The sequence below is a fragment of the Homo sapiens genome, chromosome X (genome assembly GCF_000001405.40).
Source record: "Homo sapiens chromosome X, GRCh38.p14 Primary Assembly".
Classification (NCBI taxonomy): Eukaryota; Metazoa; Chordata; class Mammalia; order Primates; family Hominidae; genus Homo; species Homo sapiens.
The window spans coordinates 154,749,615-154,762,611 of record NC_000023.11 but is presented as its reverse complement, the minus strand read 5'-3'; the positions used below and the strand labels follow the sequence as shown (position 1 = coordinate 154,762,611).

Below are 12,997 nucleotides of genomic sequence, written 5' to 3'. Positions count from 1 at the left end.
GGGTTTAGCTCCGCGCCTGCGCCTGGGCTCACGGCTGAACGCTCCGTAAACAGTACCTCTTTCTTTGCTTTCTCACACCGACCCTTTCAGGTTGCTGTTGGATCAGTCCTGATGCATAAGTGAACATGTTGAAGCTCGGAGAGGTTGAAAGGCCTTTGCTGCTTGCAGTTCCCATCCAGCTAGAGCAGATGGCCAATAGGAGTAGTGTGCGTGCCACATGTTGACTTTTAAATTTTCCAGCAGCAACATGAAAGAAGAGTAAAAAGAAAAAGGTGAAAATGATTTATAATGAATTTTTTTAACCCAGCGTATCCGAAATATTATCATTTCCACATATAGGCAAAACACAACAGTATGAATGGGGTATTTTACATTGGTTTTTTTTTTTTGTCCCCGCAAAGACTTTCCGGTGTGTGCGTTTATGCTCACAGCACACCTCAATTTGAACTCTACGACCGGGCTTCACGCCAAACAGCAGAGACAAAGCACTGGCACTAAATCTCATAGAAACAGGATGAGCCTGGGTATCATGATAGGCAGCAGGGCTGGAAGCTGGAACCAAACTGATTTCTCCCCAGGGATCTTTGGTGGTGTCTAATTGATCACAGTGTCCTGTAGTAAGCCATCATGATCTGTATAACCCCGGTAACTCTAGGTCTGGCTAAAGGCATTCTGCCTTGAATCACCACAATGGAAAATCATGGTGCCTCATCTAATTCCCAGATCTAGTCAGTCCACAGGCCAGAGCCCGTGAGGTGAGCCTGTAAAGGTGAGGCCAGGCACATGTAACGCTACAAGTGTGTACTTTCAGCCTGCCTCCTCCCTTCTCGTGGGACCCGTGGCCATTTACCAGGGGCTTGCACTAGCCCGTGTGAATCACTGGGGAAGTAGAATGCCACTTGGTCCAATGGTCAGAAGTGGAGTCAGCCCACGTCCCTTTCACTATCAGCCACCCTGTGGCTCTTTCCCCGGTTCTTGAATCCATACTTGTAATAAACACAATTGGTAGCTGGATAAATTCCCAGAGGGGCTTCCTGACTCAAGGACTGAGGGTGATAATGGAAGGAAAGAACAAAGGAAGCCTCTGGCACATTATCATAATTGAGTCCCTGGGAACTGATTTGATCATCTCACTGTACCCCAAGACATCATGCTGAGTGGACCTGATGCATAGGAAGTGGCAAATATTTCACCACAAGGTGAGAGAGAAGCCCCTTGAAAATTCAGGGAGGTGATACCTCAGTGAACTTCCTGGGCATGCAGTGGGCTGAGGCATGTTGAGACGGTCCCTCCAAAGAGAAAGACAAGTTGCCTTACTTGGAACCCTCTGCTTGCTAAAAAAGAAGCATGACACTCAGTGGGCCATTTTCTGGAGATGGCATACCCCATTAGGATGCTACACAGAGCCTTTTCCAAGCTTTAATAAGAGACTCACAGTTCAGCCCTCTGGAATTTGAAATAAACTTAAAGCTAAGACCTCCACACACAAAAAATAATAATTTGCCAGGAGGAAAAGCTCCTGGCTTGCTGTAATTATTTACTGAAACGGAATGACTGTGATACATGTGGTCTTAAGACCTGACCTGCCCATGATAAACTGGGTGTTGTCTGACCAAACCATGAGTACCATCAAGTACAATGATGCAGCCACTTTAGAAAATGGTCTGGCAATTCCTTGAAAGGTTAAACACAGAGTTACCATATGACTCACCAATTCTACTCCTAGGTATAGACCCAAGAGAATCGAAAATGGATTTTTAGATAGATGGTTGTACACATATGTTCATAGAAGAACTGTTCACAATAGCCAAAAGGTAGAAACAACCAAAATGAACAGATGAATAGATAAACAAAATGTGGTCTATTCATACAATGGAGCCGTAAAAAGGGATGAAGTACTGATCCATGCTACAACATGGATACAACATTGAAAGCATTATGCTGAGTGAAAGAAGCCATTCACCAAAGGCCACATTTTGTGTGATTCCATTTATAGGAAATATCCAGACTAGGCAAATCTAGAGACAAAAAGCAGATTAGTGGTAGCCTTGGCCTAGGAATTTAGGGGAACATGGGGAATGACTGCTAATGGGCACAGAGTTTCTTTTTGAGGTGATAAAAAAAGGTTCTAAAATTACATTTTGGTGATGGTTGCACAGGATTTCAAGAATTGTGGGATAGGATGGCCACTCATGATGGTTTGGGATCATCTAAATGACAGCCAAATTCCTCGAATTTTTGGTTTGGGTCACAGAGGGAATTTCTATAACAATGCTTAAGGAATTACTTATCTTTTACAGGCACAAGAATAAAACAACTAAAAACCAAACTTTAAAATTTTGACCCATCACCTTTCCAAATTACAAAACTCAGTGAGTTCGCAGCCTTCTCAGTTCTCTTAGTAAAGGTTGGGGCCACGATCAGAAAAGCATAGAACACTGGGATTTGAAATGGGAGTAAATTGGAGAATTGGGAGTCCCCAGAATCCCCAACTCTTACTGAGCCTCCATTGTTAAACAACCCCCACGTTTATCTGATTGCAGGTTCCCTTACTGTCTCATGAGGGAATTAGCAGGGAAGCAAAGGCACTTCCCTCCTACTCTCCCACCCCAATGTCTCCAGGCCTGTAACTAGAGTTAACCTCTACATTGCCTCAACTGAACAATTTAAGTCATGCAGCAGGAGAAAGCTTGCATATGAAAACAGTAGTAGGAGTTTGCAAACATGTACCAGGAAACAGGTAATATTTATGTAAATGATATGTGAAGGTTCTTGACCCAAAAAGAGAGAAGATCATTTTAAATCAGGCTGATTTCTTGGTATAGACGCTGGAATAGAGGTTCATGTGGAGGTGATGCCTGGACCAAGAAGCCTATCCCAGAGCTTTAACTGCAATGGACGATAGAGTTCAGGTGAGAGTGTACAAGGATTGAAGGAGGTGTTTTGCTAATAAATGCTGTAAGCTACTAGATTCCCATCCCAGATTATTTTTCACCACATTGTTTTCACCACATCTAGCCAGGTAACCAAAACAAAATTCTTGCATTTGTCTGAATGCAAGACTCATGGAAGACTTTGCTTCTAGTACCAAATCTTGTGCCACTTAGAAATGTTTTGTTTGGAAGTACAAGAAACAGACTGTTATTATTGGAAGGGTATTATAGACTGTGGGACTCAATAAAGAACAGGTTTAAAGAGTGGGGTGAGTGAACATTAAGGGTAGGCCTCAAAATTGTTTATGTCTCATCTCTCACCTTCACAGCACCACACCACACCAAGTTATACCATTAAATAAGACTTTAGTGGATGTTGGCAGAGGTAAAAACTGAAAATCACATTTAAAGAAAGGCATGTGAAACAATAGCTCTAAATATCTTTTTGTACTCTAAGAGAAAAGCCCCTAACAATGCCCTGCATGGATGCTCTTTAGTTCCCAGCCTGCTCTCCTGCCCTCAGGTCCTGTAGGGTTATACTGCTTCTAAAACGTTTCACTAGGTCATGTGTGGTAAGCACTGTTAGTTGGCTGCCTAACAGACATCCCTTTCCTCTTCTTTCTCCATAACAGAGCCCCAGTTTTGGCCAGGACAGCACTGTGCCCAGCAGCAGGGCAAGCATCACAGTCGCTCTAAGCCAGTCAGATCCTTTGTCACATCATTTACTGGCCTCTCTTGCAGTTAGGGTGGCCATGCGGCACAATTCTGGGCAACGAGTTGTAACTGGAAGTCAGCTGGAGAGGGGAGGATTGGGTAATGGCAATGAGGAGCCAGAAGTGGCCAAGTGGCTCTGTTTGCAAGTTAGTGGAGCGATTCTCATAAGTGGAAGCATGTTTTTCTTGGGTACTAGAATCTAAACCAGCCAGGTACAAAGTCATGAGGTTGAGAAGCAAAAATTCTGAAGGCAGATTATTCAGCATGTCTGTGAGATATGCCATTCCCCACCTCAACTCTGTTTTCCAGACCTCTTATATTCTGACCATGAGAAAAACTGCACCATTTAATGGTTTCTAGTTCAGCGTATGGTCCAGATCCTCACAAGAGTGTTGTGTCCCAACTAGGAACACAGCAGAATCTTCAACAGGCCATTTTATCATTGGCCAGATCAACGGCTGCCTACAGAATGTTGGAAGAGGTATGGAATTGTTTTAGCAAATAGATCACACCTGTAACCGTAGCAGCACTTGAAATAACCACCTGATTATGCTTTCAGTAATCCACAGTCGTTTAATGTCCACAGTTTAGGTTTCTACTGCTGCATAACAAACCATCCCCAAACTTAGTGCCATTAAACAGCCATTTCATTGTGCTGACAGGTTCTTCAGGTGAGAAATCAAGACAGGACACAGTGAGAATGGTTTCTCTTTGCTCTGTAATGTCTGAGGTCTTGGCTGAGATGACTTGATGGATAGGGGTGACAGGATGGCTGGAGGCTATAATCTTCTGGAAGCTTCTTCACTAACATGCCTGTTGCCTATACTAGGATGGCTGGAAGGCTGGGTTCCACTGGAACTTGAGCACCTACTACACACAGCCTCTCTTTATGGCGTGGCAGCCTTAGACTAGCTGGAGTCTGTACTTGGTGGCTCAGGACCTCCAAAGCAAGGGTTAGAGTGAAAAAGGCAAAAAGCTGCATCACCTTTTATGACTCGGCCTTGGAAGTCTCATCATGCCATTTTTGTTGCAGTCTATGGTTGAAGCAGCCACAAGCCTGCTCAGGTTCAGGGGGAGGGAACATTAACCCCACCTCTCAGTGGGAGGAGTGTTAAGAATTCTGGAGTCCTGGTTTAAAACTGCCACGTTGGCCGGGCGCGGTGGCTCACGCCTGTAATCCCAGCACTTTGGGAGGCCGAGGCGGGCGGATCACGAGGTCAGGAGATCGAGACCATCCTGGCTAACACGGTGAAACCCCGTCTCTACTAAAAATACAAAAAATTAGCCGGGCGTGGTGGCGGGCGCCTGTAGTCCCAGCTACTCGGGAGGCTGAGGCAGGAGAATGGCGTGAACCTGGGAGGCGGAGCTTGCAGTGAGCCGAGATCGCGCCACTGCAGTCCGCAGTCCGGCCTGGGCGACAGAGCGAGACTCCGTCTCAAAAAAAAAAAAAAAAAAAAAAAAAAAACTGCCACGTTCACCAAGACCTAACCACCTGCTGTGCAGGCCAAACGGATGAATTAAATGAGGGTGTGATAGGAATTTCCTTCCCTGCATTTTTCAAGTCTTTGATGAGGGAACTAATTTCTGAAATTGCTCCTAAGTATGTGGTATTATTTGTTTTGATTTACACTTTGTGAGAAGGGGAAACTCTAGGGGTTTCCACTTGGGCCTTTCTGTCATGATGGCCTCATTCTGTAGGTCAGGAAATCATTGTGGGAATTTTGTTTTGTTTTCTTTTGAGACAGAGTCTCACACTCTGTCAGTGCATTGGTGTGATCACATCTCACTGCAGCCTCAACCTACTGGGCTCAAGTCATCTTCCCATGTCAGCCTCCCAAGTAGCTGAGACTACAGGCATGCACCATCATGCCCAGCAAATTTTTGGGTTTTGTGTAGATACACGGTCTCAATATGTTGCCCAAGCTGATCTTGAGCTCCTAGGTTCAAGCAATCCTTCTGCCCTGGCCTCCCAAAGTGCTAGGATTACAGGCATGAAGCCACCGTGGCTGGCCCAATGTGGGGATTTTGCTGACTTTTTTTTTTTTTTTTTGAGACAGAGTCTTGCTGTGTCACCCAGGCTGGAGTGCAATGGCTCAATCTTGGCTCACTGCAACCTCCACCTCCCAGGTTCAAGTGATTCTCCTGCCTCAGCCTCCCTATTAGCTGGGATTACAGGCACGCACCACCACGCCTGGCTAATTTTTGTATTTTTAGTAGAGACAGGGTTTCACCATGTTGGCCAGGTTGGTCTCAAACTCCTGACCTCAGGTGATCTGCCTGCCTCAGCCTCCCAACATGCTGGGATTACAGGCTTGAGCCACTGTGCCCGGCCAGCTGACTTTTTTTTTTTTTTTTTGCCATTTAGATGAGTAGGTAGTGGTGGTTTTAATATGCACTTCTCTAATAGCTAATGATGCTGAACCTCTTTCTATGGGCTTATTTGATACCTGTATATCCTCTTCAGTGAAATATCTCTTCATATCTTTTGTTTATTTTCTATTTGGATTTTTTTTACTGTTTATTTTTGGTAATTCTTTATATATTCTTGATATGAGTCCTTTGTTAGATCCATGATTTGTAAATATTTTCTCCCAGTCTGTAGCTTGTCTTTTTATACTTTTTTTTTTTTTTTTTTTTAGACAGAGTTCCAGTTTTGTTGCCCAGGCTTGAGTGCAGTGGCATGATCTGGGCTCACTGCAACCTCTGTCTCTGTCTCTGTCTCCCAGGTTCAAGCAATTCTCTTGCCTCGGCCTCCCGAGTAGCTGGGATTACAAGGGCCTACCACCACGCCCAGCTAATTTTTGTAATTTTAGTAGAGACGAGGTTTCACCATATTGGCCAAGCTGGTCTCGAACTCCTGACCTCAGGTGATTCATCTGCCTCGGTCTCCCAAAGTGCTGGGATTACAGGTGTGAGCCACCATGCCTGGCTGTCTTTTTATACTTCTTAACAAGGTATTTTGTAGAGCACAAGTTTTAATTTTGATGAAGTCCAATTTATCACTTTTTTCTTTTTTTTTTTTTTGTTTTTTTTTTTTGAGGTGAGGTCTTGCTCTGTCACTCATGGCTGCCTCAATCTCCTGGGCTGAAGCCATCTTCCAGCATCAATCTCCTGAGTAGCTGGGACTACAGGTGTGCACCACCACACCTGGCTAATTTTTTTAAAAAATATTGGTGTAGAGACACCGTCTACCTTTGTTGCTCAGGCTGGTCTCAGACTGTTGGGCTCAAGTGATCTTCCTGTTTCGGCCTCCCAAAGTGCTGGGATTCCAGGCATAAGCCACTGCACCTGGCATCAAGTTTTTCTTTTATGGATTGCATTTTTGGTGCCATGTCTAAGAACTTATCACCAGGTCGTAGGTCCCAAAGATTTTCTCCTATTTTATCTTCTAAAAGTTTTGTAGTTTTACATTTTATATGTAAATCTAGGATCCATTTTGAGTTCATTTTTGTATAAGGTGTGAGGATTGGGTTGAGGTTTTTTGTTTGGTTTCGGCCTATGGACGTCCAGTTGCTACAGTTTGTTGAAAAGACTATCCTTCCTCCATCGAATTGCTTTTGCACCTTTGTCAAAAACCAGTTGGACGAATTTATGTGAGCCTATCTCCAGGCTCTCTATTCCGTACCATTTATCTATATGTCTATCCTTTCACCAATACAAAAAGTTTTGATTACTGTAGCTTTATAATAAGCCTTGAAATCGTATAAAGAGATTTATGTGTTGACCTTGTATCCTGCAACCTTGCAAAACTCACTTATTAGTTTTGGGAGTTGTTTTTGCATATTCCTTGAGATTTTCTAAGGAGACAATTATCTTCTGCAAATTGAGACATTTTCTTCCCAATCTTTATGCCATTTGTTTCTTTTTCTTATCTTATTGTACTGAACTAGGACTTTTAGTACTATGTTGAATACAAGTGGTGAGAGTGGATATCCTTGCCTTGTTCCCAGTCTTAGGAGGAAAGTGTCCAGGTTTTCACCAGCAAGTATGATGTTACCTGTAGGTCTTCTGCAGATGTTCTTTAATAAATTGAGGAAATTCCCCCATTTTCTGAGAGTTTTCTGAGAGTTTTTGTCATGAGTTCTGTCAAATGCTCGTTCTGCATCAACTGATAAATCATGTGATTTTTCTTCTTTTGTCTGTTAATGTACTGTATTGCATTAATTGGTTTTCAAATATTGAACAAGCCTTGCATCTCTGAGATGCATGGTGTATAATTATTTTTATGTATTTGTGGATTCTATTTGCTAGTATTTTTCTAAGGATTTTTGTGTCTATATTCATGAGGCATATTGGCATGTAGCCTTCTTTTTTTAACTTTTTCTGGTTTTGGAAGTATCAGAGTAATACTGGCTTTATAGAATGAATTGAGAAGTGTTTGATTTGGACTTATGACAACAATTTTGTGCAATCTCTTATTTATTTAGAGATGAGGTCTTCCTATGTTGCTCAGGCTGGTCTCAAACTCCTGAGCTCAAGGGATCCTCCTGCCTCATCCTCCCACAGGGCTGGGATTACAGGTGTGAATCACCATACCTGACCAATTTTGGGCAATTTTAAATACAACAATAATGGATATGATGAAAGACTATCACTGATAATAATAAAGTCAAATTTCATATTCCACATGAAAATTAGATGATTTTAACTCATAGAGAAGTCGTTTATGGATGCCTATAGAGGAAAAAGAGTGTTCCCCTATCTGAACTTGTGCCATGGCACTCCAGGCCTTTAATTCACATACTTCTTAGATTTATTAAATCAAGAGGTGGGTGGGAGGTGGGAGATATAGGAAGGTGCAGTCCTTTTCCTCATTACTGACTCTCACACACATTTGAAGCTGTTTCCCCTGCCTGTCTATGATCCAGAGTTTTCTTTTCAAATTTTCTTTTCATAGCAAATAAGTTAGATGCATAGTCACTTTGACTCATCATGATGAAATTGAGATAGAAACTCTTCTGTAATAGTAGGCATTTATTTTCACAAGTTTGTAGTTATAAGATTTACAGAAGTTAATGAACTGTGAAACAAAGTGTATTTTAAACAAAAAATAAATGGGGAAGCCACAAAGGGAATGCAGGTGCCAAAAATCACTTGCTATTCAAATTCTCTCCTCTCCCCAGGCTAGAGTGCAGAGAAGCTAAGATGGGTTTCCATGAAAGGAACAATTTCGATTTCTCTGGCAGTGAGAACAGGGTACCCTAAAAGATACGGGAATAGTTACTCATATCACATCTTTATTTAACCCATCTGGCTAGTCTGGAGATTAGTAGTGGGTAATTGTAGAATTAATCAGGCTGTGATTCGAACTGAAGCTGCTATTCCAGATGATGCTGTTTTCCTACAGCAAATCAACATAGCCCCCTGGCACCTGGGATACAGCTATTCCTTTGCCAAATGTTATTTTTTCCCATTCAGCAGAGAACACTAGAAGCAGCTTACTTTCATCTAGCGGGAACAGAAGTACAACCTTAGGACTATATCTATTCTCTGGCTCACTGTCATAATCCACGTTGAATGGAGCTTGATTGTTGTGAATGTTGTGCTGGTTTATTACACTGATGACATATGTACTGGACCTGATGATCTAGAGGTAGCGAATACTCTAGATGCTTTATTAAGATACAAGTACACCACAGGGCAGGAGATAAGCCCCATGAAAACTCAAGAGCCTGAACCTCAGCAAAGTTTTTAGATGGTCTGGACCACGTTGGGTATTCAACATGTTGTTGTACCGCTTACCACCTACCACTCAGAAAGAGGCACGGCATTTGGTGTGGATGTTTGAATTTTGTAGGCAACATATGCTACATTTAATTGTGCCGCACCAATGCACTCAGCAAGTCATCTGTAGGGTTGCATGTTTTCGGGGAGAGATCCAGGGCAAGAAAAGGCTCTGTGACAGGTCCAGGCCACTTGACCCTTATGACCATGTAGATTCAACAGGTACAGGACCTTTGACACACTGGGAGGCTACACGGAGCCTCTGGCAAGTCCCAGTAGGAGAAACACACAGCAAAGCCCTAGAGTTTTGAAGTAAACCATGCCCTCTACCACAAAAGAAGTATTTTCCTTTTGACCAACAGCTTCCAGCTTGCTCCTGGGCTGTGGCAAAGTCTGAATGCTTGACCATGGGGCACCAAAGAACCATGGAACTTCAGCTGCCACTGATAAATTTGGTGCTATTTCATCCTCTTTTGGAAGTGGAATATTTGAGACCAGACTCAAGCAGGTCTGGAAGGTACAGGAAAGTTGCTAGAGCAGGTGGCTCACATCTTTGTGGCCCCTGCTGCTGCATGATCACCATTCCCTGGACTTACACCCAGAATGTCGTAGGGAGTTCCTCATGACCAGGTCTATCGGTCAAGGTTTCAAAAGGAAGCAAACAGTAGACTCAAGGGGTTGAAATGAGGAAAGTATAATTAAGGGATTTTTTTTTTAACAGAGGTGTAAGCAAGACTTAGAGAATTAGCAATGCATAGTGGGGCTCTCAGGGACTGGCAACAGTTGATATGGCCACAGCCACTGCTAAGTGCTCAAGCTGCCCACAGGCAGAGACAAACAATGAACCCTTAATAACAGCATTCCCTGGGGGGACCAGACAGCCACCTGGACTGCCATCTGGAAGGGGCAGCAATTTTTTCTCACTTGAACAGGTACTAATTTTGTACATGGATTCGCTTTTTTAAAATTCACATTTCTGCTGGCACTCCTGCCCATTGACTTACTGAACCCATTATTCACACTGACATTATCTCACACAAGAAAATCATTATAAGCCAGTGTGCGCATGCTGATGGACTCCACTGGTGTTACCATGTTAGCTCATCACCCTGAAGCATCTGGCCTGATAGGATGGGAGGTTGGTCATTCTGTTGAAGATGCTAGCAAACGTCACATAGATGATACCCACAAAAAGCAGAGGGTGGTGCTTAAGTGGATGGGCTCTTGACACAGCTCTGGCTGCCTATGGATGATTTTCTCGTGTGGCTCTCGACAAGTGACACTGTCATCCTGTTTTTCATTTTAGTAACCTGCAAAATTGAGATAATAATAAGAGCCCTTTGACAGGGTGTTGTGTGGATTCAATGAGATAACGCCTGGAAAGTGCTTAGCACAATCGCTGGCATGGTGTTAGCTTGGCAGTAAGGAAGGTCACAAGTGTTAGGTGCTCATGATTGTTATTTTTACTTAGCGTGGTCAGCACACTAGTTGGCACAATCGACTTTAGATCCATCTTTTAAAACCTTCGAGTCAAAGAGATTGCAAACAGCACTACCTTTTGAGTTTGGGTCATTTGGGTTCATTAAGACATTTAGACCGTTTAGCCGGCAAAGCTTATCACTGAATACAACGATCTTTGGGGGAGGGACATAGAAAACACACTACTGTGCAAGCAATCAAGTGGAATAGGGAAGTCCAAGAGGAGTCTTGCTTTTGTTTCTCCGTGAACTATGCACATGGCAGATGCAGGTGGTACTTGGGTTTCAGCTCCAGGGTCCCTGAGACCCAGGGACCAGCCCGTTTGGCGTGGCGGATTGGGGATGGGGCATGAGGGCAACAGGTTCCAGGCTGTGCTCCCATTAGGTCGCAGGGCTCCTTCCGAGCGCTTTCTCGTGACCCTGGGTGAGAGTGGCAGGCGCCCTGCTGCGTAGGCTCCCCCCCCCACACCCCCCCCCCGGGCACAGCCGCTGGCGGAGCTGCAGTTGCTCGAAGGGGCTTCCCAGGCTTCGCTGCTTGCTTTTCCCGCCGTCTTGGGTTGCGGGCGGCGTCGGTTCCCTCCCCGGGGGCCGCGGCGGCCGGAGGCGGGGGTCGCAGCGGCCGCTCGGGGCGGCGCTGGGCGGGCGGGCGCTGGGCCCGCCCCGCCGGCATCCTTGGCCCGACTTCCTTCTGCCGCGGGCGGCTGGCCCAGCTGGAGGAAGCGGCGGCGGCGGCCACGATGAGTGCGGGCGACGCAGTGTGCACCGGCTGGCTCGTTAAGTCGCCCCCCGAGAGGAAGCTACAGCGCTACGTGAGTAGGGGCGCCGCCACCCGCCCGGCCTTCGCGTCCCGGGGCACCCGCCCGCGGGGCGGCCGCGGGGAGCCGCTGGGCTCCGGGCGCGCCAGGCGCAGCCGCTCCCAGCGCCCGGGACTGCGGGCGAGGCCGACGGACGGAAACCGAAATCGCACGTCGAGCCAGCTTCGCCGCTGTGCTAGGCAGCGGGCCGGAGACCAGGTGGCGCCTGCCCGCGGGGCTCAGGGACTCCAGACCGCCGCTGACTCTAGCGGAGGGAGGCGGGTTGGGGCTGAAACCTCAGGCGCCACTCTCCGTACAGGAGCGGCCAGGGAGACATCTCGAAAGCGTGCCCCTTTCTTTGGCTGGGGGTGGCTCTGAGACCCATCGCCCCGCGAAGGAGACGCGGCAGGGGATAGGGAGACTGACAGCCAGAGGGGAATTGCCTGCATTCCCCCTGGACCGTAAGGAGTAAGGAGTGCTGCTCTTGTAGCTGTCATCGGACACTGCTGTCTGGAACCCTACACAGTGTAACTCGTTTCTCATCGTGTAACTCCTTTCAGCTTCTTCTTAATGCTGACACCGCGCTTTTATAGTGCCAGCTGGACAACTGACTTTTACTAATATGAAATTAGGAATACTTGGAAGAGCGAATCTTCCTACCTATTCCATTACCGTTTTAAGATGTACTATCGACACCTCAAACGTTCATTATCTCCATCAGCGTCCTCACGATAAGGTCTTAAAAACATTCTGCTTAAAGACCTGATTGCTACTCAGTGTTTTTCAGCCATTAGGAAGAACCACTTCAGTCCCCAGGGAGTTGCATATAAATAGCTATTAGGACTTCTTGCTTTTTTTAGGCTGGGAGTAGCTGGATGGATTCATCTTGTTCTTAATTCCTAATTTCTCTGCAACTTCACTGCACGGTGGTAGGAACAAACTCGCGCATGTCTGCGCTCATCCAAAGCAGCCCACCCCAAATGTGGTTCAGCCTTGTGCTCTTGTCTATACAGTGCTCTCAAACTGCTGTCCTCTTCTGGCCAAATTTCACAACTGTTTTTGTTCCCACATAGATGAGGCACATATTGTGTGGAAGTTCAAGAGGTGGGATTATAAAAAGACTTTAATAATGTATGAATACTTCCAGAATGTGTGGCAGGAGATTTTCCTGAACATAGAGTTGCTCAAGCCCTCTTTCCCCATTCACATCGGGCTAGACAGTGTGTGTTTCTCTCTTAGGGGTCTTTGAAAAGATTTTTGTTGTTTGTTCTGCAGAACAGAACTTTAGAGGAAGGTTGTTCTATTTAGCACGTGAATATCAGGAGTGCATAAATACTGAGATTTCTCTAAGTGC

General features: G+C 45.3%; 1 protein-coding gene across 13 annotated transcripts in view, besides 3 other annotated features; it reads left to right on the top strand.

Annotated features, from left to right (window-relative positions):
- Positions 68-127: an enhancer, noted in NCBI's record as "active region_30068". NCBI's record gives its function as "activates an Ori minimal core promoter by ATAC-STARR-seq in GM12878 lymphoblastoid cells {active_cell/tissue: GM12878}" and the evidence as "EXISTENCE:reporter gene assay evidence [ECO:0000049][PMID:35858748]".
- Positions 11,046-12,997, top strand: part of GAB3 (GRB2 associated binding protein 3) — a 76,318-nt gene continuing 74,366 nt past the window's right edge. For 10 of the 13 annotated variants that reach the window (XR_938505.2, NM_080612.4, XM_011531106.2 and 7 more), the window contains exon 1: positions 11,535-11,658. Coding sequence is in view for 11 of the 13 variants with exons in the window: in NM_080612.4 (NP_542179.1) it covers positions 11,587-11,658 (72 nt within the window). In the remaining 2 variants the exon portion in view is untranslated. Of the gene's footprint in view, positions 11,121-11,534; positions 11,659-12,997 lie in introns of those variants that run through there. The other 3 variants (NR_104114.2, XM_047441835.1, XM_047441834.1) reach the window with 1 other exon arrangement.
- Positions 11,580-11,659: a silencer, noted in NCBI's record as "silent region_21117". NCBI's record gives its function as "represses an Ori minimal core promoter by ATAC-STARR-seq in GM12878 lymphoblastoid cells {active_cell/tissue: GM12878}" and the evidence as "EXISTENCE:reporter gene assay evidence [ECO:0000049][PMID:35858748]".
- Positions 11,830-11,889: a silencer, noted in NCBI's record as "silent region_21116". NCBI's record gives its function as "represses an Ori minimal core promoter by ATAC-STARR-seq in GM12878 lymphoblastoid cells {active_cell/tissue: GM12878}" and the evidence as "EXISTENCE:reporter gene assay evidence [ECO:0000049][PMID:35858748]".